The following is a 24,940-nucleotide window of genomic DNA, read 5'->3' on the forward strand; positions in this document are numbered from 1 at the left end:
CAGACCTATTCCAGAGCTTGGAGTGAGCATGTCCTACAAGGATAGGCAGAGGAAGAGATGGGCCCAGGCTATATCCTGCTAAAGGAAGGGTCTCAGTATGGAAAAACCATTGAGTTTTCAGATTTCCAGTACTAAACTAGCACTTTTAGGATCTTAGCCTTTAGACCATAAGGACTTTGGGAGCCTTAAACAACTCTGGCCTCTTCCCTCATCACCACTTCTACTTGCTATAGGAGATTCTTGCTTTCTGATGCAGAGGCTTTTACTCTTGGCTGACCACGTGTGTAGAAAAATGTCTACACACAGTATGTGCTGCCATTCTGTACTATGCAGTGATACATGAAGGCATGGGCTCGGGTTAATAGGCCTAGGCACCAGCTTTAGCTCGGCTGAAGCTGGCGGCCCCTGGCAAATTACTTTGATTGAATCACCTGTGATGTTGAAGGCTGCCTACTTGGTGAAATTTAAGTGAGCTGTATGTAAAATGGCACAGGGTAGGTGTTCAGTAAATGACTCCCTTTCCCACTACTGAGGCTAGAGGGACCTGGCAATCACTACAGGAGGGTGAGAAAGCTAGTAGGGAATTTAAGAAAATAGAACATTCCCTAACTATTGTTTGATTCCCCTCAGATTCCATTGTTTTCTTTCCTCCAATTTAGCCACGATTGGACATTGACTTCTATTTCCTTCATACTCACAGCTAACTCTGTCATAACCTAGAGCCTCTACAGAGGAAGCCAGAAGAGACTGAAAGTGAATATTATTTACTGGTCCATTAGGACCAGCTAGTTTGAGATAAGGAACATTTTATTTAAAAGGTTTGAATTAGCATAGGCTGTAATCTATGTCTCACAGCTACAAAGACTAGACAGGCCAGGAAACAACCCACATTCTAGGCCCAGCTCTTCCATGAACTTGCAGATGACCTACAAAAATCATTTTATATGTGCTTGCCGTTCTCTGTGTTAATCAGATTATGCTTACTGAACGAGCGAGGTTTTCCTCCAATAAAAATGCAACGTGAAGGCACTTTTCAAAAATAAAAGAATGAGGGAAGAAAGAAAAACTTGGAACTTTTTTTCTATTTTTTGTATAAACAAAATTGCCCAGGTTTATTTGCCACCTCCGCCTCCTCCCTGCCTGCTGCTGTGTGCCCTTCCACATGCAGTCAGGGGAGGGCTTCTCTGGCCTCCTCAGCTGTAATCTCCTGGGAGTAGAGGTCAGTGAAGAGAGCTGGCAGCCAGTAGTGGGCCTCCCCTGGGGCCTGTAAGTCCAGCCACGCCAACCCTTCCTTCAGCAGGTGTTCCTGGAGGGAAAAGGGAAGAAGAGCAGTTTGAGAACAGGGAGGTTCCATAGACAAAGGGTAGGTAAGCAACCCCCACACCTATTTTGGCTTCAGTGAGGTTTTCAAACTAAATCTACTAAGTGCCTTCAAACCTTTACACAACCAACTAAACGAGCTGTTTGGCCTTGGCCTTTGCCTGAATTTGAAAAATGCTACGAAGTCATTTAACTTGTGCTGCTGGGGAAGAGGGGTAAAGCCTAGCATAGTGGAATATAGTGGAAAGAACATAGCTACAGAAATATTTGCTGTGTGGCCTTCAGCAAATCACTGCCTCCATTTTCCCAGAAACTGTTAAACAGAGATCACTGTTTAGCTACCTTTGAATTAAGTTATTCCGGGTAGCAAACATGATTGACCATACTTATGCAAGAATAGACTCAGTTCCTAGAGCTGGAAATAATATGCTCAAAATGGGTGGTTTCTGTCCAATATCATTAGGTAAATAATTATGTTATCCCCATTTTACAGATGAAAGGTTTAGACAGTTGAATTGTTTGGATAAGGAAAAAAGGTACTGAAGCCGGAGTTCTTACATTGCTCCCTCTTCACATCATTCATTCTTCAGTACGATGAAATTTGTATATATAAAGCTAGAGTATATACTATGCAATATAATGCTTAGTGGATAATTAGATATGTAATTAACGTAGTTAATAATTCACTGTACTAACAGTGTTACTTCCAGTACAAACTACATTAATCTCCTGACCAGCAACTCCAGGCTCAGCATGTTCAGGAGAGAGAGTGTCAGTTCCCCAAGTAGCAGGGGCAGCCTGGTATTGTGTGCATGCCAGAGTTAGGAACCTGCCTTCCTAGTTCTACCTTTTTGGTGCCATCTTCAGAGAAGTGCTGGGCTTCCTTCTAGCATGGCAGCAGTAGCCTTCAAGGCAGAAGGCCAGCAAAGCAATGCTGAAGTTCCTGCATTTGTGGAACCCACATCCTCCCAACTGGGGCCTGCCTGTCTTTTCTGGACTGTTCCAAAGTTGCATACCAGCACTTGCCGCGCTCGCTCGGTCTCCCATTTAAGACTGGCTTTGATCTCACTGACAGTCACGTAGCCATTCTTCTGAAGGAAGGAGGAATGGGGATTGAATCAGTTAAGAGTGCACCTTCCCTTAGAACCCAGGATCTGCCCAGGAACAAGAGACTTACCCAGACAGGAGGAAAAGCTGTCAAGCATGAGAGAACACAGAAAATGTTTAAAGGTTCCAGCGGGGAGAGAGAGAAGTGACTTTCAGCATGACAGAGGTAGGTTGGTGGGTTCAATCCTAAAACTGGGGTACCGGCCAGGCACGGCAGCTCATGCCTGTAATCCTAGCACTTTTTGGGAGGCCGAGGTGGGTGGATCACCTGACGTCAGGAGTTCGAGACCAGCCTGGCCAACATGGTGAAACCCCATCTCTACTAAAAATACAAAAATTAGCCAGGCATGGTGGCACACGCCTGTAATCCCAGCTACTCGGGAGGCTGAGGCAGAAGAATCACTGGAACCTGGGAGATGGAGGCTGCAGTGAGCCGGAGATTGCACCACTGCACACCAGCCTGGGTGACAGAGCGAGACTCCATCTCAAAAAACAAAAAAGTGGGGTCCCTTGTACTAACATACTGAGTTAGACTTCTGCAAAGCACTCTAGAGCATGACAAGGGAAGATTCTGGACAATTAATTGATGGGAAGAAATGATGATAATCATAAACTGCTAATAACCTCCATTATTTAAATATTCAGCCCTTGCCCTGCCTCATTCTACTCATCCTCCAATACAGAAAAGCCCCTCCCTTATTTAGTTCTGTTTTACGTCATAAAGGAAACTGGGCCGGGTGCGGTGGCTCACCCCTGTAATCCCAGCACTTAGAGAGGCTAAGGTGGGTGGATCACCTGAGGTCGGGAGTTCGAGACCAAACTCAGGCCTGGCCAACATGGAGAAACCCCATCTCTACTAAAAATACAAAATTAGCTGGGCGTGGTGGCACACACCTGTAATCCCAGCTACTCGGGAGGCTGAGGCAGGAGAATCACTTGAACCCGGGAGGCTGACATTGTAGTGAGCTGAGATCACGCCATTGCACTCTGGCCTAGGCAACGAGTGAAACTCCATCTCAAAAATAATAAAACTGAACACATCTAAATACCTGATGGGGATTTGGGGGAAGATGGCATATGCTTAAGGCATGATGAGGGATGGGGGCATGGCAAACAAGATTTTTTAAAATCTGTTTTTGAAGAATCCATAAAGTAGTTTCAAAAGACATCAAAGAGTCTGGCTACCCAAAGAAATCTAGTTAGTTGTCTGCATGTCTGTCTACCTGACTAGACTGTAAGCTCCTTGAGAGCAGGAATTTTATCATCTTTATATGCCCCACAGCCTGGCCCAGTGCTTTGCACTGTAGCTGCTCAATAAATGTCTGCTGAACAAGCACAGGCCTGAGTAGTTCATCCACTGGATAGTCTCAGCAAAAGACCTGCATAATGGGGAGCACGAGCTGAGAACTGCTCCAGACTTGCCTCACAGACTGTCCCTTGCACACACACACACTCGAAGGTGCACCAGTACCTCTGCCAGCTGCAGCACCACGGTGTGATCCATATTGAGCTCAGCTGGAACAGACTGAATGAGGTAAGTGCCGCCCACAGGGATGATGCCGAAGCCAGTGCCAAGTGCCTTTAGTTTCTTGATGGCTCTGATCAGGTCATCTCTGAGGTAAGGAAGAGTTGCTTAACGACCCTTGGCAGAATCAGACCTAACAACACAGTTTCAGCTCTGCCCTGGGCAGGATACTGACAGAAAATTTAGAAGACTGCACAACTGCCAGGCGCAATGGCTCATACCCATAATCGCAACACTTTTGGGATGCCCACATTGAGAAGACTGCTTGAGCCCAGGGGTTAGAGACCAGCCTGGGCAACACAGCAAGACCTTATCTTTACTAAAAATAAAAAATTAGCAGGGCATGGTGGCAATCGCCTATAATCCTTGGGAGGCTGAGGCAGGAGGATCACTTGAGCCCAGGAGTTCAAGGCTGCAGTGAGCTGTGATTGTGCACCACTGTACTCCAGCCTGGGTGACAGAGCGAGACCCTGCCTCTAAAATAAAAGGCTGCACAACACTCAACTACGTCAGTAAAAAGACAGGGTCAAGGAGCAATAAGTGATGCTTGGACAATCATGGGAGATACACAGGAGTCAGGCTGTCTGCTCAGCGAACCACTCATTCCAACATCCAGACAGCGGTCAAAGATACACCTGCAGATGCCCATCAGGAAATGTGAATGAGTGAGCTGAAGAGGCAATGGGGGTAGTGTCACCTGTGGCAAACTAGAGAATGCTTATCTATTTTAAAGGGGGCAACCCAGCTGACTATTATTGCCAAGTGGCAATTCAAACCCAATACTGCCAAGTTTTCTGATTCTAATTGAAATCAGAGAAAAAGAAAACCTACAAAACAGTGTGTAGATCACATATCCAGCCCACATACAGAGTTTAAAACCTCTGCCAAAGCTCAAAAAATGTTATCACCCAAACAGCCAGGGAAAGGGCACTTTTAGGTAGATTGGAATGCATTCTCCAACCCCCAAAGAATAGCAAACTGAAATGCTTCAAATGCTCACCCTCTCTTCATGAAATCTGCAATGAGTATGGCTAGTAATCTTTTGTTATCACTTTCCTTTTTTTTTTTTTTAGGAGATGAGGTCTTGGCTGGGCGCGGTGGCTCACGCCTGTAATCCCAGCATTTTGGGAGGCCGAGAGTTCGAGACCAGCCTAGCCAACATGGTGAAACCCCATCTCCACTAAAAATACAAGAACTAGCAGGGCGCCAGTGGCAGGTACCTGTAATCCCAGCTACTCAGGAGGCTGAGGCAGAAGAATCATTTGAACCCAGGAGGCGGAGGTTGCAGTGAGCCGAGATTGTACCACTGCGCTCCAGCCTAGACAACAGAGCAAGAGTCCATTTCAAAAAACAAAAAAAAAAAGTAGAGATGACGTCTTGCTCTATATCCCAGGCTGGAGTGCAGTGGTGCAATCATAGCTCACTGCAGCCTAGAACAATGAGTGCATGCCTCAACACCCAACTAATTTTATTTTTTGTAGAGACAAGGTCTCACTACACTGCCCAGACTGGTCTCGAACTCCTGTCCTCAAGCGATCCTCCCACCTCAGCCTCCCAAAGGGCTAGGATTACAGGTGTAAGCTATTGCACCCAGCCTCGTTACTTTTCTTTGAATATTCTAGGTCTTCAAGATCTCATAGTAGGCTGACTCTTTGGAAGTTACATCAAAAACAGCCTTTTATCTTTTCTCAAACTGGACTCGCACATAGAGGCTGGAGAACTAGATCAATTTATATTCCATCATCTCACTACCACCTCCTTCCCCAGCCTTTCTAGGCACCTACACTACTCTCCTTGGCCTCAAATAATCTCACGACTATATACAGCCCTGGCCAGCCGTGGTGTCTCACACCTGTAATCCCAGCACTTTGGGAAGCTGAGGCAGGCAGATCACTTGAGGCCAGGAGTTCAAAACCAGCCTGGCCAACAACGTGAAACCCCATCACTACTAAAAATACAAAAATTAGCCAGGCGGCCAGGCGCGGTGGCAGACACCTGTAATCCCAGCACTTTGGGAGGCTGAGGCGGGTGGATCACGAGGTCAGGAGATCGAGACCATCCTGGCTAACACAGTGAAACCCCGTCTCTACTAAAAATACAAAAAATTAGCCGGGCGTGGTGGCGGGCGCCTGTAGTCCCAGCTACTCGGGAGGCTGAGGCAGGAGAATGGCGTGAACCCAGGAGGCAGAGCTTGCAGTGAGCAGAGATCACGCCACTGCACTCCAGCCTGGGCGACAGAGTGAGACTCTGTCTCAAAAAAAAAAAAAAAAAAATTAGCCGGGCATGGTGGTGCACACCTGTAATTCCAGTTACTGGGGAGACTGTGGCACGAGAATTGCTTGAACCCAGAAGGCAGAGGTTGCAGTGAGCTAAGATCGGGTCACTGCACTCCAGCCTGGGTGACAGCAAGACTCTTTCTCAAAGAAAAAAAAGACTATATATAGCCCCAAGTTTGTTAAAAAATAATACATGAAAAAATGCTTAGAAGGAACTACATTAAAATATATAGCAGTTGTAATCTCTTAATTGAGAAATAATGGTTTTTGTTTCCTTTTTTAAATCTATATTTTCTGTTTTCTAAAAATAGCCAGCCATACTGGCCCATGCCTATAATCCCAACTACTTGGGAGGCTGAGGTGGGAGGATTACTTGAGCCCAAGAGTTTGAGGCTGCAGTAAGCAATGATCTTGGTAGCAGTAAGCTGTGATCATGCCACTGTACTCCAGCCCGGGCAAAAGTGAGACCCTATCTCTTATTTTTTGTTTGTTTTTTGTTTTTTTTTTTCCTGTATGATATGGAGATCATACAGATTTCTAAGCTAGCCTAGACATGAGGAATAGGGAGAAAAGAGTTCCATCTGAATTTTAAAGACCTCTTTCTGTACTCCAAGGGATTGGAAGACAAGACCTACTGACTGACATCCTGGGCGAACTTGCCCCTTCCCTTCAACACCTGTTGATGTAGTTCCTCCAAAGTTATCAGACCTGTTTGGAGACAGGGAACAGAAATCAGAAAAAGAGATTACCCACTTTAAATAAGTTGACAGTCATTACAATTCCAGTGGCCTACAAGTAGCAAATAACATTCTAGTTCCTAATTTTTTTTTAACACTCTCCTTATGAAATAACTGACCATAATATGAGAAATGGATTCTGAGACCTTGCTAGGCCTGTCAACAGAGAGCTACGAAAATCTAAAAACAAAAGCAGTATCATCTTTGAAAAACTATAAATGTCCTCTTGACATCAAGGCCGTGTCTATTTATAGTTGATGATGATTTGTAAATGGTTTTAAGTTTTCTTTCTGTAACTTCAATCCACACCATTTAACGTGCTTACTAAGAAAGATGGCATCACCAGATGACAAATTTTAAGGTCACATTTTAGGGAACACAGACTCAGTTGGCATTCCCATACGTCGGAGAGACAGTGCAGGACTATAGTTACTAATGAGAAAATCACTCCAGACACATCAGACATCAGGGGAAAAGGCCTACTTCCTACCTCTCTACTATTTTCTGTACTGACTAGGGACTAGACCTTCCTGGCCAAAGATCTTTGGAGAACAGAGACAATCGTTCAGGTAATTCTATTTACCCTTGGCCATGGAGACTTGCCATGGATTCAACTGCATGAAACAGCTAAGATGTCTCTCAAGTCCTTAGAGGCCTGTAGACTGCAGGATGGAAACGATAATCTTTTACGGTTTTCTCCCTCTCAGAGAAGTCCAGAGTCCAGTTCACAGGACCTAGCCACCCTCACCTCCATTCCGATGCTTCAGCGCCAGGCACACTTCGATAATTTGGACACCTAGTTCGTAATAGAAGTCCCCCACGCCCAGCATCTCAGACCAAAATCCTTTTCCAGCTACAAGACAGAAAAACAAAATCTCGGTTATTGATTAATTTACATCCCTTCTTTTCTTTCAAACCTGCATTAAAACATCTATCATATGGGAAGTCTTCCCTGCATGGCATGAAGTTCTTCTGCTCCATCTGCTACTCAGGAAACAATCGGACTCACGGTAACTCCTGCTGAAGAACAGGGTCAGACGGCTCCAGAGGGCAGGCAATCTAAAAGTCATTTCTGGCCGGGCGCAGTGGCTCACGCCTGTAATTCCAACACTTTGGGACATCGAGCTAGGTGGATCGCTCGAGACCAAGAGTTCAAGACCAGCCTGGCCAACATGGCAAAACCCCATCTCTAATAATAATAATAATAAATTAGCCAGGAGTGGTGGCGTGCGCCTGTAATCCCAGCTACTTGGGAGGCTGAGGCAGGAGAATTGCTGGAACCCAGGAGGCAGAAGTTGCAGTGAGCCAAGATCGCGCCACCATACTCCAGCCTGGGCAATAAGAGCACAACTCTCTCTCAAAAAAAAAAAATACAGCCGGGGACAGTGGGTCACGCCTGTAATTCCAGCACTTTGGGAAGCCAAAGCTGGTGGATCACAAGGTCAAGAGATAGAGACCATCCTGGCCAATACAGTGAAACCCTGTCTCTACTAAAAATACAAAAATTAGCCGGGCGTGGTGGCGCGTGCCTGTAATCTCAGCTACTCAGGAGACTGAGGCAAGAGAATCGCTTGAACCCGGGAGGCAGAGGTTGCAGTGAGCCGGGATTACGCCACTGCACTCCAGCCTGGCAACAGAGTGAGACTCCGTTTCAAAAAAAATAAATAAATAAAAATAAATAAATAAAAATTTAAAAAATAAAACAAAAGTCATTTCTATTTGGCTAATTCTGGCTCAGGATACTGAAAAAACGAGTTTCCATTCACAAAGCATGCAGTGAAATATAATGGGAAATATGGTCTAGACAAGACTAAGAGAAAGAATATGCAGACTCAGCATTCAAAAATCCACTGAATGTTCTGTGAGTTACCAGGAGTGTAGAAATAAAAAATAAATAAATAAACAATCCACTGACGACAATATTCTATTCAGTGAAAAATGCAGGTTGGGCGCAGTGGCTCACGCCTGTAATCCCAGCACTTTGGGAGGCAGAGGCAGGCGGATCACCTGAGGTCAGGAGTTCGAGAACAGCCTGACCAACATGGAGACACCCCGTCTCTACTAAAAATACAAAATTGGCCAGGCATGGTGGTGGGCACCTGTAATCCCAACTACTTGGGAGGCTGAGGCAGGAGAATCGCTTGAACCTGGGTGGCGAAGGTTGCAGTGACCCAAGATCACGCCATTGCACTCCAGCCTGGGAATCAAGAGCAAAACTCCATCTCAAAAAAAAAAAAAAAAAGAAAACAAAAATGTAGGTTATAGAGCAGTAGTAATTATATTATAATCCCATATATGTTTACAAAGTTGGGGCCACGCCAGGAGCAGTGGCTCACGCCTGTAATCCCAGCACTTTGGGAGGTTGAGAGGGGCAGATCACGAGGTCAGGAGATCAAGACCATCCTGGCTAACATGCTGAAACCCTGTCTCTACTAATCATACAAAAAATTAGCCGGGCATGGTGGCACATGCCTATAGTCCCAGCTAGCTACTCAGGAGGCTGAGGCAGGAGAATCACTTGAACCCAGGAGGCGGAGGTTGCAGTTAACCAGGATCGCGCCATTGCACTCCAGCATGGGCAACAAGAGCGAGACTCCGTCTCAAAAAAAAAAAAAAGCAGTAAATTATATAGTGCAATGCCTGGCACACAAATAAATATCGTTTATGATTGTTATTCATTGTTTGAGATAAAATCAGTCATCTGTAGCCGGGCGCGGTAGCTCACACCTGTAATCCCAGTACTTTGGGAGGCCGAGGCGGGTGGATCACGAGGTCAGGAGTTCAAGACCAACCCGGCCAAGATGGTGAAACTCCGTCTCTACTAAAAATACAAAAAATTAGCCGGGCATGGTGGCACATGCCTATAGTCCCAGCTAGCTACTCAGGAGGCTGAGGCAGGAGAATCACTTGAACCCAGGAGAAGGAGGTTGCAGTGAGCCAAGAGTGTCACACCACAGTACTCCAGCATGGGCAACAGAGTGAGACTCTGTCTCAAGAAAAAAAAAAAAAAAAACACTGGGGCCAGGCACGGTGACTCATGCCTCTAGTCCCAGCTCCACTTGGGAGGTTGAGGCAGGAAAGTAACTTGAGCCCTGGAGTTGAAGGCTGCAGTGGGCTGATTGCACCAATGCACTCCAGCCTAGGTGACAGAAACCTCAATGCTAAAAAATAATAAATTAGTAATTTCTTTTTTTTTTTTTTTTGGGGGGATGGAGTCTCGCTCTGTTGCCTGGGCTGTTGTGCAGGGGCGCGACCTTGGCTCACTGCAACCTTCACCTCCCGGGTTCAAGTGATTTTCCTGCTTCAGCCTCCCGAGTAGCTGGGATTACAGGCATGTGCCACCATACCTGGCTAATTTTTTGTATTTTTAGTAGAGACAGGGTTTCACCGTGTTAGCCAGGATGGCCTCATCTCCTGACCTTATGATCTGCCCGCCTCAGCCTCACAAAGTGCTGGGATTACAGGCGTGAGCCACCGCGCCCGGTGAATAATTTTTTTTAAAGTTTATAAGTATGAGGAAGGGCTCAGTGCAGTGGCTCACATCTATAATCCCAGCACTCTGGAAGGCCAAGAAAGGCCGATCACTTGATCCCAAGAGTTGAAGACCAAACTGGGCAACATGGTGAAACCTCCTCTCTACAAAAAATACAAAAATTAGCCAGATTTGGTGGTGCAGGCCTGTAATCCCAGCTACTTGGGAGGCTGAAGCACAAGAATTGCTTCAACCTGGGAGGCAGAGGTTGCAGTGAGCCAAGATGGCACCACTGCACTCCAGCGTAGGTGACAGAGCAAGACTGTCTCAAAAAAAAAAAAAAAAAAAAATTTTTTTTTTAAACAAGGTCTTGCTGCAGCCTCAACTTCCCAGTCTCAAGCAATCCTCCCACCTTAGCCTCCCGAGTAGCTGGACTATAGACACATGCCACCACACCTGGCAAATTTTTATACTTTTTGTAGAGATGGAGTCTCGCCATGTTGCCCAGGCTGATCTTTAACTCCTGGATTCAAGTGATCTGCCTGCCTTGGCCTTGCAAAGTGCTGGGATTACAGGCATGAGCCATTGCACCTGGCCAAAATTAAATATTTTTTAATAAAGAGGGAAAATGCCATAAAAAATTCTACTGTAGATCATTCAAGGAATGATCACAGACACTGGCTACTCAGCCTATAGTCGGTCTATCTTCCATATCAGACTGGGAACTAGCCATCCTGCTAGGTACTCCCTAAAGACGACACCCTTGGCCAGGCGCAGTGGCTCATGCAGGTAATCCCAGCACTTTGGGAGGCCGAGGCGGGCGGATCACGAGGTCAGGATATCAAGACCATCCTGGCTAACATGGTGAAACCCCATCTCTACTAAAAACACAAAAAATTAGCTGGACGTGGTCGCGAGCACCTGTATTCCCAGCTACTCGGGAGGCTGAGGCAGGAGAATGGCGTGAACCCGGGAGGCAGAGCTTGCAGTGAGCCAAGATTGTGCCACTGCACTCCAGCCTGGGCGACAGAGCAAAACTCCGTCTCAAAAAGACAGCATCCTCTGGGTCTTCCTGCAGGCCTTTCTAGTGGATGCCCCAACAGTGGTAACAACAACTATGTGAGCTTCTGTTCCTCAGGTACTCTATAAGAACGCTGGACCCCTACAGACAACTTCTTACAGGCCAGCGGATCCACGCCAATGGTTGCACACATGTCCTGGAACTGCACACGGAACTCAGGATTCTTCCGGATCTCCTGCTTGTGTTTGCTGGCAAATTCCTCCAGGTTGGTCTTGAACATGTCCAACTGCTTTGACATCTGTTGGATGGACAGGGAGTGGTGAAGGGCAGCCCAGCCAAATGATAATCAGATGCCAAAAACAGGTCCCCAGCCCTGTGGCAGGGCAAAGGCTGAAATAACCAGTCTCCCTCAGCCTACCATTATGCTGTTTACCATCTCTCTTTTTATCCCTGCCTCTCCTTCACAGTTCTGTTGTCAGCAGAAATGGGATGCTGTACTGTTTTCTCACTTCCAAAATACACAATTTTTCATGTATTCCTCTTCTAAAATCAGCATGCATTTAATAATCAAGGTGCACATATATACAACCAAATATATGCACAAAAAAAGAAAAAGGTATATATATAATGTGGTATTCCTTTTCTTTTTCCCAGAAAAACGTATTAATTTGAAGATGTACCTAATAATTCATCATATCTTAGAAATGAGGGAATGCAGTGTTCACCCATTAGAAAATCTTTACCCCCCCCAGCCGACAGAAAGGCTGGATGGGAAAAAGTGAAGCGTCACATGAATCTGTTTATAACCTTTGAGTCTGGCCAGGAATGGTGGCTCACACCTGTAATCCCACAACGGATCACTTGAGCCCAGGAGCTCAAGATTAGCTGGGGCAACATAGCAAGACTGTCTCAATCAATCAATATTTTTTTTTTTTAATTTTTTTGAGACAGAATCTTGCTTTGTCGCCCAGGTTGGAGTGCACTGGCACAATCTCAGCTCACTGCAACCTTCGCCTCCCAGTTCAAGTTGATTCTCTTGCCTCAGCCTCCCGACTAGTTGGGACGACAGGCATGCACCACCACACCTGGCTAATTTTTGTATTTTTAGTGGAGACAGGGTTTCATCATGTGGGCCAGGCTGGTCTCAAATTCCTGACCTCAAACAGTCCATCTGTCTCAGCCTCCCAAAGTGCTGGGATTACAGATGTGAGCCACCGCACAGGGCCAATCAATCAATCAACCAATATAAATTAAAAAAACAAAAAACTTTTGAGTCATGAACCTCCCTGGGGATCAACTCCAGATAAAGAACTGCTCTGGGACTGTAATTTGCCAGATTCCATTTCATGTTAAATACAAAAGACTTGGGGATTTTCTGACTTTGTATTACCCCTTCTCTTTTCCTAATTAACAAGGACCATCTTCTATCCCACCAAAAATAAGCACTCCTAGCCCAATATTTATTTCTCATATAAAACTGTTAGAAACCTCCACATTCTTAGGCGGAGGTTGCAGTGAGCCAAGATCACGCCACTGCACTCCAGCCTGGGCAACAAGAGCGAAACTTGGTCTCAAAAAAAAAAAAAAAAGAAACCTCCACATATTTTAATCACCATTTTCAGTTGATTCCTGCATGCCATCTCCCCTGTGAGTGGGTGCTTTTGAAGAGCACAGCCTGGGTTTACTATTTTTCCTCAGCTCACAGCCCCATTTTCCTGCTTAACGGCTTCCTCCACTTCTTCCCCAATCACAATCACTGGGTAAACTCGGAGCACGTACAGAGAAGGGAAGGGCTGGAAAAGAAAACTGCACAGGAGCTGCACCCCCCATCACTCACACACTGTCCTGGTATGTGCCTAGATGTCATGATGGTGGTGTGGGTGCCACAGGTTAGGCAATATTTTCATTTTATTCTGAGGTATTTAAAATGAAAAGCCCCAGAGGACCTAAATCAATAACAGCTCTACCACTTACTACCCATATAACCTTGGATATATTACTTAACACCCCAGTGTCCTCAATTTCTGCCCACCTCGGCCTCCCAAAGTGCTGGGATTACAGGCGTTAGCCACCGCACCCGGCCTTTTTTTTTTTTTTTTTTTTTTTTTTGCTTTTTTTTGAGATGGAGTCTTGCTCTGTCCCCCAAGGTGGAGTGCAGTGGCATGATCCTGGCTCACTGCAACCTCTGTCTCCTGGGTTCATGCAATTCTCCTACCTCAGCCTCCCCAGTAGCTGGGACTACAGGAGCCCGCCACCACGCCCGGCTAATTTTTGTATTTTTAGTAGAGACGGGGTTTCGCCATGTTGGCCAGGCTGGTCTCGAACTATGGACCTCTGGTGATCAGCCTTCCTCAGCTTCCCAAAGTGCTGGGATTACAGGCATATGCCACAGCACCCGGCTCTCAATTTTAAACTCAGAATATGGCCGGGCGCGGTGGCTCACGCCTGTAGTCCCAGCACTCTGGGAGGCCGAGGCGGGTGGATCACCTGAGGCCAGGAGTTTGAGACCAGCCTGGTCAATATGGCGAAACCCTGCCTCTACAAAAAAAAATAACAAAAATTAGGGCCCGGCACAGTGGCTCACGCCTTTAATTCCAGCACTCTGGGAAGCCAAGGTGGGCGGATCACGAGGTCAAGAATTTGAGACCAGTCTGACCAACATGGAGAAACCCGTCTCTACTAAAAATACAAAAATTACCCAGGCGTGGTGGCGCATGTCTGTAGTTCTAGCTACTCGGGAGGCTGAGGTTGGAGAATCACTTGAACCCAGGAAACGGAGGCTGCAGTGAGCCGAGATCGTGCCACTGTACTCCAGTCTGGGCAACAGAGCAAGACTCCCTCAAAAAACAAACAAACAAACAAACAAACACCTCAGAATAATAGGGTTCCTTCCTTATGGGACTGTAATGAGGATTGAACAAGACAGTCTATGTAAAGAAAATAGACAAATGCCTGGGACGTTACAAGCATGTAATCACTCAAAGATGTTAGCCATTATTGTTATTAGCAAGTCACCTAAAAGATCTCAGCGGCTCAGAAATCAAAATTTGCCAAACACCCTATTTCTAGTTCAATCTACACAATCAAGTTCGTATCCAAGGTGTCTTGGCCAGACCTGGTTAGGTCTCCCTCCCTGCCTGGGGCCCCCCAACCGACTTACCTGGGCTAGCTGGTCCTCAGCCAAGACCGTCCCTCGCTCCTTATACTTGGCCTGTCAGACAAAGAGACCAGCATAAGTTAAGAGAGTGGGCGCTGGAGGCCAGGCGCGGTGGCTCACGCCTGTAATCCCAGAACTTTGGGACGCCGAGGCGGGCGGATCACGAGGTCAGGAGATCGAGCCATCCTGGCTAACACAGTGAAACCCCGTCTCTACTAAAAATACAAAAAAATAGCCGGACGTGGTGGTGGGCGCCTGTAGTCCCAGCTACTCAGGAGGCTGAGGCAGGAGAACGGCGTGAACCCTGGAGGTGGAGGTTGCAGTGAGCCGAGATCGCGCCACTGCACTCCAACCTGGGCGACAGAGCAAGACTCTGTCTCAAAAAACAAAACAAAACAAAAAAACACAGAGTGGGCGCTGGGTTCCCCCATTTGTGCTGCCACAGCTTTGGGATGAAAAGAGGAGGATCTCTGTAAATTGTTTTCTTAGGGAGAAGGATAGGGTGAAGGAGTAGAATCGACGACTGTAGATTTGTGAGTAGAATCCCATTTGTAGTTAAACTTGGGTAAATGGGAGAAAGGGCTGGGCATCTGGGAACGCTGCCAATCCACCGGAAGCTGGAGAAATTCTGTGTCCCGGGGCCGAGAAGCCAGTCTCAGATTCTGTTGGGAGGTGATTAACGGGTAGGACACTGCTCCGGGACAATTCAGTCTCGCACGGGTCAGGGGCAGGTTGTGGGTCGGCCTTCTTCCTGCTCACCTCTGCAAGTTTCTTCTTGGCGATGGCGCCAGCTCCCACCCCGCGGCGGTGCATCCCCACCCTGGGCCCGCGGGCCGCCCGGCTGCCGGGACCCCGGGTCTCCACGTCCCGGACTCCGCCGCCGGCTCCCCAAGGCGGAAGCCCGAGCCGCGCGTCATCTGCACGCGCCGGAAGCCACGAGCCGCATTTCCTGCCGCGAGGCTGAGTGTCTCCAGTTCCTACCGGCCCGGCGACCCCGCCTTTAGCTAGTGGCCAAGATTCGCAAAGCCTCGCGGCGAGGAAAGCACGAGTATTCAAGCGCGGCTGAGGCCCTCCTTGGCTAGTGCTGGGACATGGAGCCCCGGCAGCCAAGGCCAACCTTGTGCATTCCACCCACGTAGGCGCCTGGGGCCCTGGTCTTCCTCGACTGCCTCTCCACTGCCTGGAGGTCATCAAATGCCCCTGGACCACCTCCTACGTGCCACACGCTGTGTTGGCCATCCAAGGTTCCATATTGAGCATAAAACAGCCCTCTGCCCTAAAGGAGTTAACCTGTTGGAATCACATACAAAGGATTCTGACTACCAAGCGCCTTGAAGTTAAGTTGAACTCTGAAGACAGATTGCCTGGCTACAAAGCTCAGTTCCACTACATATGGTCCAGGAACTTAAGACAAATTATTTTAATGTCTTTATGTTTCACTATCCGCTGTAGTGAAATAGAATAATACCTACTCATGGCCTGACGCGGTGGCTCAAGCCTGTAATCCCAGCACTTCGGGAGGCTGAGGCGGGCGGATCACCTGAAGTTAGGAGTTCGAGACCAGCCTGGTCAACAAGACGAAACCCCGTCTCTACTACAAATACAAAAAAATTAGCAGGGCGTGGTGGTGCGCATCTAATCCCAGGTACTCGGGAGGCTGAAGCAGAAGAATCGCTTGAACCCAGGAGGCGGAGGTTGCAGTTAACCAGGATCGCGCCATTGCACTCCAGCATGGGCAACAAGAGCGAGACTCCGTCTCAAAAAAAAAAAAAAAAAAAAAAAAGCAGTAAATTATATAGTGCAATGCCTGGCACACAAATAAATATCATTTATGATTGTTATTCATTGTTTGAGATAAAATCAGTCATCTGTAGCCGGGCGCGGTAGCTCACACCTGTAATCCCAGTACTTTGGGAGGCCGAGGCGGGTGGATCACGAGGTCAGGAGTTCAAGACCAACCCGGCCAAGATGGTGAAACTCCGTCTCTACTAAAAATACAAAAAATTAGCCGGGCGTGGTGGCTGGTGCCTGTAATCCTAGCTGCTCGGGAGGCTGTAGCAGAGAATTCCTTGAACCTGGGAGGTAGAGGTTGCAGTGAGCAGAGATCTTGCCAATGCACTCCAACCTCGGTGACAGAGTGACTCCATCTCAAAAAAAAAAAAAAAGGAAAAAAACGAAAAAGACCCAGGTTCCTTAAGCGAACCAGGAGGTGGTAGTTAGGCTTCTCCACATGGAAACCCCTTAGTTTCACTGGCCATGGCCAAAAACCTGCAGTTGCTTCCATGTTTGGGCGCTGCCCACCAACGGTCCTGGGTTGGAAAGGAAGACAGAGAGAGGGAGAGATTCCCCTTTATGGAGTAGAAAGGAAAAGGAAAAAGGGGGAAAATAAATCCCAAACTTTGGGCTTACATTTTCCTCCTGGCTGGCTCGCCAAAATATGTTAACGGTGGAGGGTGTTCCAGGTTCTTGGGGTTTTGCACAAACAACTGGACAAAACGCACAAACAAAGCAAGGAAGGAATTAAGGGATTTATTGAAAATGAAAGTAGCACGGGCGCGGTGGCTCACGCCTGTAATCCCAGCACTTTGGGAGGCTGACCCAGGTGGATCACTTGAGGTCAGGAGTTCGAGACCAGCCTGGCCAACATGGTAAAACCCTCTATCTACTAAAAAAAATGCAAAAGTAGACAGATGTGTTGGCTCACACCTGTAATCCCAGCTACTTGAGAGGCTGAGGCAGGAGAATCACTTCAACCCGGGAGGCCGAGGTTGCAGTGAGCCAAGACCACACCATTACACTCCAGCCTGGGCAACAGAAGGAAACTCCATCTCAAAAAAAAAAAAAAAAAAAGCAAAGAAAAGAAAACTCAGCTGGGCGTCGTGGCTCATGCCTGTAATCCCAGCAATTTGGGAGGCCGAGGCGGATGGATCACCTGAGGTCGGGAGTTCAAGACCAGGCTGACCAACATGGAGAAACCCCTTCTCTACTAAAAATACAAAATTAGCCAGGCGTGCTGGCACATGCCTGTAATCCCAGCTACTCGGGAGGCTGAGGCAGGAGAATCGCTTGAATCCAGGAGGAGGAGGTTGCGGTGAGCTGAGATTGCGCCATTGCACTCCAGCCTGGGCAACAAGAGCGAAACTCCGTCTCAAGAAAAAAAAAAGAAAAGAAAACTCTACAGCGTGGGAGCGGGCCCAAGCATAGGGGCTCAAAGGTTCTGTTACAGAGTTTTTTGTGAATTTAAATGCCCTCTACCTGGGGTACACACGCCCTATGTAAATGAAAAGGATGAAGTAAAGTTACACAGTCCCATTTACCCAGTGTATGCCCTATGAAAAGGATATTTCCTCTCATAGCTGAAGTGAGTTGCCTGCCTCTAGACCCTATGTTCCTGCCTCAGTGGCAGCCTGGATTTAATTCATCTCAGTTGTAGTAATCCAAACTAGAAATGATGAGGGCCAGAACAAAGACAGTGGCAATAAGGAAAGCGAGAATGGGACAAATCCAAGAGATATTAAGAAAGTAGAGTGAGGCCAGGCACGGTGGCTCACTCCTGTAATCCCAGCACTTTGGGAGGCCGAGGCGGGTGGATCACGAGGTCAGGAGTTCAAGACCAGCCTGGCCAATATGGTGAAACCCTGTCTCTGTGGTGGCACAAGCCCGTAGTCCCAGCTACTCGGGAGGCTGAGACAAAAGAATCGCTTGAACCCGGGAGGCGGAGGTTGCAGTGAGCCAAGATTGTGCTACTGCCCTCAGGCCTGGGCGACAGAGCGAGACTCTGTCTCAAAAAAAAATAAAAAAAGGACCAAGCGCGGTGGCTCATGCCTGTAATCCCAGCACTTTGGGAGGCCGAGGAGGGCAGACCACGAGGTCAGGAGATCGAGACCATCCTGGCTAATGCGGTGAAACCCCATCTCTACTAAAAAAAATACAAAAAAATTAGCTGGGCGTGGTGGCGGGCGTCTGTAGTCCCAGCTACTCGGGAGGCTGAGGCAGGAGAATGGCGTGAACCCGGGAGGTAGAGCTTGCAGTGAGCCGAGATTGAGCCACTGCACTCCAGCTTGGGCGACAGAGTGAGACTCCATGTCAACAAAAAAAAGAGAAAGGAAGGAAGGAAAGAAAGAAAGAGTGGTAAAACAAATAGGGTGGCATGGGTGGGACAAGGACGAGAGATGCTCAGTATTCTACCTGGGGTAACATGGTAGTGCCATTCAGAGAGGGGGGCCACAGAATGAAGACGATATTGGCGAAATAATGAAGGGTAGAGTATTTTTGTTTTTTTGAGACAGAACCTCACTCTGTCCCCCAGGCTGGAGTGCAGTGGTGCGATCTCGGCTCACTGCAGCCTCTGCCTCCTGGGTTCAAGCGATCCTCCTGCCTCAGCCTCCCGAGTAGCTGAGACTACAGGCGCATGCCACGACACTGGCTAATTTTTTAAAATATTTTTTTATTTTTAAAAATGCGCCACCGGGCATGGTGGCGCATGCCTGTAATCCTAGCTACTCGGGAGGCTGAGGCAGGATAATCGCTTGAACCCGGGAGATGGAGGTTCCAATGAGCCGAGATTGTGCCATTGCACTCCAGCCTGGGCGTCAAGAGTGAAAATCTGTCGCAAAAAAAAAAAAAAAAAAAAGAGCTGGCTGGACACAGCGGTTCACACCTGTAATCCCAACACTTTGGGAGGCCGAGGCAGGAGGCTTGCTTGAGCCCAGGAGTTTGAGACCAGCTTGGGCAACATATGAAGACCTGTCTCTGTTTTTAAAATAAATTTTTAAAAAGAGCTGGACTGGGAGGATCTCTTGGGGCCAGGAGTTCAAGACCAGCCTGGACAATATAGCAAGACCCCGCCTCAAAAAATAAAAATAAAAAGAGCTGGACTGAGTTACAGTTTTGGAATCAACACAGTGAAATCATGAATGTGAATTTTACTAGGAAGGTTTCAAGTAAAATGATAAAAAGAGGATGAGAGCAAAGGTTGATGGCAAGACATGTAGCTGCCATTTTGGACCTAGAGGAATGGTGGAACCATGAGTCCAATGAGCTTCGATCCCTAAGGATTTTACAGAGCAGACTGTCATACTAGCCCTAGGCCACCAATCTCTGAGTGTTTATTTATTTATTTATTTTGAGACAGAGTCTTGCTCTGTCGCCAGGCTAGAGTGCAGTGGCACGATCTTGGCTCACTGCAACCTCTGCCTCTTGGGTTCACGCAATTCTGCCTCAGCCTCCCGAGTAGCTAGGACTACAGGAGCACACCACCATACCCAGCTATTTTTTTTTTTTTTTTTTTTTTGTATTTTAGTAGAGACGGGGTTTCACCATGTTGCCCAGGCTGGTCTTGAACTCCTGAGCTCAGGCAGTCCGCCCGCCTTGGCCTCCCAAAGTGGTAGGATTATAGGCGTGAGCCCAGCCTATTTTTTTTTTTTTTATTTTTAATTTTACTAGAGCGCAAACGCAGTCCACCGCTACCACAAATTACGCAGTCGAGTTTCCCACATTTGGGGAAATCGCGAGTCGGCACATCCGGAGTGCAATGGATGAGCCTCGCCCTAGGAAAACCACCTTCAGGATCATGGTATCTCCCCTGCCAGGTAAGTATTGAGTGTTTATGAGAAAGAGAAATAATGTCCTGTCTTACTGAAGCCACTATTATTTTGTGTTTTCCTGTTATTTGAAGCCAAATCTATCTCTTCTTTTTTTTTTTTTCCTTTTGAGATGGTGTTTTGCTCTTGTTGCCCAGGCTGGAGTGCAATGGCGCGATCTCAGCTCACCGCAACCTCTGCCTCCCGGATTCAAGCAGTTCTCCTGCCTCAGCCGCCCAAGTAGCTGGGATTCCAGGAATGCGCCATCACACCCAGCTAATTCTGTATTTTTAGTAGAGATGGGGCTTCTCCATGTTGGTCAGGCTAGTCTCGAACTCCCGATCTCTGGTGATCCGCCTACCTTGGCCTCCCAAAGTGCTGGGATTACAGGTATAAGCCACCGCGTCTGGCTTTTTTTTTTTTTTTTTTTTTTTTAGATGGAGTTTCCCTTTGTTGCCCAGGCTGGAGTGCAGTAGCACAATCTCAGCTCACTACAATCTCTGCCTCCTGGGTTTAAGCGATTCTCCTGCATCAGCCTTCCGAGTAGCTGCCACCATGCCCGACTAATTTCTGTAGTTTTAGTAGGGACAGGGTTTCACCCCTGTTGGCCAGGCTGGTCTTGAACTCCTAACCTCAAGTGATCCACCCGCCTTGGCCTCCCAAACTGCTGGGATTACAGGCGTCAGCCATCTTGCCCAGCTGCCAAATCTAATTTTTTTTTTGTTTTTTTGGAGACGGAATCTCGCTCTGTTGCCCAGGCTAGAGTGCAGTGGCGCAATCTCGGCTCACTGCAACTTCCACCTCCTGGGTTCAAGCAATTCTGTCTCAGCCTCCTACGTAGCTGGGACTACCGTGCACACTGCCATGCCCAGCTAATATTTTGTGCTTTAGTAAAGACGAGGTTTTACCATGTTACCCAGGCTGGTCTGGAACTCCTGAGCTCAGGCAATCTGCCCGCCTCGGCCTCCCAAAGCGCTAGGATTACAGGCGTGAGCCTCTGCGCCCGGCCTTTTGTTTTGTTTTGTTTTTTGTTTTTTTTTTTGAGACAGAGTCTTCCTCTGTTGCCCAGGCTGGAGTGCAATGGCATGATCTCAGCTCACTGCAACCTCTGCCTCCCGGGTTCAAGCAATTCTCCTGCCTTAGCCTCCCGGGTAGCTGGGACTACAGGCGCACATCATCACACCTGGCTAATTTGTGTATTTTTAGTAAAGACAGGGTTTCGCCACGTTGGCCAGGCTGGTTTCAAACTCCCAACCTCAAGTGATCCACCCACCTTGGCCTCCCAAAGTGCTGAGATACCATGCATGAGCCACCACCCCCAGCCATCATATGAGGTCTTAACTACATAGCTTCCAAACACAAAACTTGGTCCCATAGGTACTCACTGACACCATCTAGATATACCTGCTTCCTCCCTTACTCTTTGACTCATTATACAGTGCCCTAAGGTATACACACTGATCCGCTCGCTCACAGTGAAGACCTTAGATTTAATCATTCATGCCTTCAAATGCATACACACATGCCTAGTCCCTTTTTTTTTTTTTTTTTTTTGTGATGGAGTTTCGCTGTTGTTGCCTGGGCTGGAGTGCAATGGTGCGATCTCAGCTCACTGCAACTTCTGCCTCCTGGGTTCAAGCTATTCTCCTACCTCAGCCTCCGGAGTAGCTGGGATTACAGGCATGTGCCACCAAGCCTGGCCAAGTTTTTGTATTTTTATTAGAGACGGGGTTTCTCCATGGTGGTCAGGCTGGTCTTGAACTCCTGATCTCAGGTGATCCGCCCGCCTCGGCCTCCCAGAGTGCTGGGATTACAAGCATGAGCCACTGCGCCTGGACTTTTTTTTTTTTTGAAACCGAGTTTCGCTCCTGTTGCCCAGGCTGGAGTGCAGTGGCGTGATCTCAGCTTACTGCAACCTCTGCCTCCTGGGTTCAAGAGATTCTCCTGCCTCAACCTCCCAAGTAGCTGGGACTACAGGCGCTCGCAACCATGGCCGGCTAATTTTGGCTTTTTAGTAGAGACAAGGTTTTACCACATTGGCCAGGCTGGTCTTGAACTCCTAACCTCAGGTGATCCACCTGCCTTGGCTTCCCAAAGTGCGGGATTACAGGCGTTAGCCACCATGCCTGGCTATGCCTAGTCCCTTAGATGCACGAAATGGACCTCAATGGCTATGCTGAGTGTAGCCACACTCAGGCAGACATGCTCATCCTCCTATGCAGATACCTTTGTACCGTTTTATAATTTTAGGGAAAATATGCTGACCAGTGATATCCTGGTAAGGGTTTAACAACTACCTTGCCAGGTTGGGAGAGGGGAACCCTGATTTGTAGCATTTGCCTATCTCCATGGTGTAAATACTCTGATCATGGGCTTGATATGTTGCCAGGATGGTGTACGGTGGCTATTCACAGGTGCCATCACAGGGCACTACAGCTTTGAACAACTGGGCTTAAGTGATCCTCCTGCCTCAGTCTCTCAAGTAGATGGGACAAGGCACTCGCCACTGTGCCTGCTTCCAGCACATCACTGAATGCTGACCATTATGGAATCCCTCGTTTGCTTTAAGTGACTCATTGGCTTCGTGGCAGGGTGGCTAAGAACATGGTCTTTTTGCGGGGAGGGGCACGGAGTTTCGCTTTTGTTGCCCAGGCTGGAGTGTAATGGTGCAATCTCGCCTCACCGCAACCTCCGCCTCCTGGGTTCAAGCGATTCTCCTGCCTCAGCCTCCTGAGTAGCTGGGACCACAGTCATGCGCCCCCACGCCCGGCTAACTTTGCATTTTTAGTAGAGATGGGGTCTCTCCATGTTGGTTAGGCTGGTCTCGAACTCCTGACCTCAGGTGATCCACCTGCCTCGGCCTCCCAAAGTGCTGGGATTACAGGCGCGAGACACTGCGCCCGGCTAGAACATGGTCTTTTATTTTTATTTTTATTTTTTTTGGAGACAGGGTCTCACTATGTCACACAGGCTGGAATGCGGTGGTGCCATCATAGCTCATTGTAACCTCGAACTCCTGGGCTTAAGGGATCCTGTGGCCTCAGCCTTTCAAGCAGCTGGGACTACAGATGCATGCCACCATGCCTGGTTAATTTTTTTAAATTGTCATAGAGACAAGGTCTGGCTTTGTTTCCCTGGCTGGTCTTGATCTCCTGGGCTCAAGCCATCCTCTCACCTTGGCCTCCCTAAATACTGGGATTACAGGCGTGAGCCACCGCACTCAGCCTCCAGTTGACCTCTAAGGTTTCTTTCAGCTCTGACATTCTTGGTTTCTATTCCTTTAAATTCCTGGAGCTCCTGGAATCTGTACACACAATTTAGAGCAAGCCTTTGTTTAGAGGGTTTATTTTAGTGATTCTCCATGATAGAACTGATTGTCTGGGGGAGAAATTTGAATCTGCATTTCTGGGGTCTTGGATGTCTTCGGGGGAGGTTAGTGAATCAAAAAGAGTTAGTTTTGAGCTGGACATGGTGGCTCACACCTATTAATATAATTCCAGCCACGGAGCAGAAGGGGGTGGAGTACCGAGGCAGGAAGATCTCCAGCCCAGGAGTTTGAGGCTGCTGTGAGCCATGATCACACCACTGCACTGTAGCCTAGGCAACGGAGGGAAACCCCCAACTCTAAAAAAAGAAGTTAGCTTTTTTCCATTTGTACAATGTTCTTACTATGGGCTCGGCATTGTGCTAGGCATTTTGTAAACATTGTCTTCCTTTTTTTTTTATCATGATGATCTCATTTAAATCCTTATCATAACCCTTTAAAAATGATAATATAATAATTGTTATTAACCATGCACTGCACTGCCTCTATGAGGTAGAAAATTAAAAGCCTTAAAAAGCCTACAAAACTACCTATCGGGCTCTATGCTCACTGCCAGGGTGACAGGACCCGTACTCCAAACCCCAGCATCATGCAATGTTCCAGTTTAACAAATCTGCACATAAATATCTGTATCTAAAATAAAAGTTGAAAATTTTTTTTTAAAAGTAAATTTGGCTGGGCGCCATGGCTCACACCTGTAATCCCAGCACTTTGGGAGGCCAAGGCGGGCGGATTACCTGAGGTCAGGAGTTCGAGACCAGCCTGGCCAACATGGTGAAACCCCGTCTCTACTAAAAATACAAAAATTAGCTGGGAGTGGTGGCACACGCCTATAATCCCAGCTACTTGGGAGGCTGAGGCAGGGGAATTGCTTGAGCCCGGGAGGCAGAGGTTGCAGTGAGCTGAGATCTTGCCACTGCACTCCAGCCTGGCCGACAGAGCGAGACTCTGTCTCAAAAAAAATAAAAAATAAAAATAAAAGAAAAAAGAAAATTTAAAGTAGGCTGGGTGACACAGCAAGACTCTGTCTCAAAAAAAAAAGGAGTTTTGTTTGGTTAGCAGAATGCCTTGAGGCACAATCCTACCCCTCCCATTGTCTTGCACTCTCCCCATTTTGCTCACAGCCAGACCTTGGGACAATCTGGTTGCCACTCTCTCCCTGATTTGATTTTATTTATTAATTTTGGTTTTAGGTAATTTATTAGGATAACTTACAGACAGAAGGGTGGTCTTGGGTGGCCACAAGATGGGTAGATCTCCACAAAACAACCCCCAGACCCAGGGCTTATATCCTGGGGAAAAGTATAAATGCTCTGGAAGTAATGTGCAGGCGTTTACAAGCTTCACAGCCTATGATTTCTGCAACAGCATCAAGGGTTGTTTTGGAGGAAACTTACAGTGAATAAGTGTTCTACAGA

At 47.6% G+C, this 24,940-nt stretch overlaps 1 protein-coding gene and 1 pseudogene across 5 annotated transcripts, besides 1 other annotated feature; both read right to left on the reverse strand.

The window, feature by feature from the left end:
- Positions 1-9: 9 nt before the first annotated feature.
- Positions 10-15,536, reverse strand: SNF8 (SNF8 subunit of ESCRT-II). Of its 5 annotated transcripts, NM_001317194.2 has the most exons (10): positions 15,375-15,536; positions 14,619-14,669; positions 11,618-11,756; positions 7,975-7,985; positions 7,714-7,818; positions 7,549-7,627; positions 6,864-6,936; positions 3,899-4,040; positions 2,337-2,411; positions 10-1,306 (listed from the first exon to the last, which is right to left on the reverse strand). In NM_001317194.2, the coding sequence occupies exons 6-10, from the start codon at positions 7,583-7,585 to the stop codon at positions 1,169-1,171; spliced, it is 465 nt and encodes a 154-aa protein (NP_001304123.1). In that variant the 5' UTR covers positions 7,586-7,627; positions 7,714-7,818; positions 7,975-7,985; positions 11,618-11,756; positions 14,619-14,669; positions 15,375-15,536; the 3' UTR covers positions 10-1,168. The 5 variants fall into 5 exon arrangements, 4 of the variants coding, with proteins under 4 accessions (NP_001304123.1, NP_001304121.1, NP_009172.2 ...); NR_133679.2 differs by lacking the exons at positions 7,549-7,627; positions 7,975-7,985 and having other exon boundaries at positions 6,825-6,936; NM_001317192.2 differs by lacking the exons at positions 7,549-7,627; positions 7,975-7,985 and having other exon boundaries at positions 2,337-2,408.
- Positions 15,249-15,478: a silencer, noted in NCBI's record as "silent region_8664". NCBI's record gives its function as "represses an Ori minimal core promoter by ATAC-STARR-seq in GM12878 lymphoblastoid cells {active_cell/tissue: GM12878}" and the evidence as "EXISTENCE:reporter gene assay evidence [ECO:0000049][PMID:35858748]".
- Positions 20,061-20,214, reverse strand: RNU1-42P (RNA, U1 small nuclear 42, pseudogene; annotated as a pseudogene).

The sequence above is a fragment of the Homo sapiens genome, chromosome 17, assembly GCF_000001405.40.
Source record: "Homo sapiens chromosome 17, GRCh38.p14 Primary Assembly".
NCBI classification, from domain to species: Eukaryota; Metazoa; Chordata; class Mammalia; order Primates; family Hominidae; genus Homo; species Homo sapiens.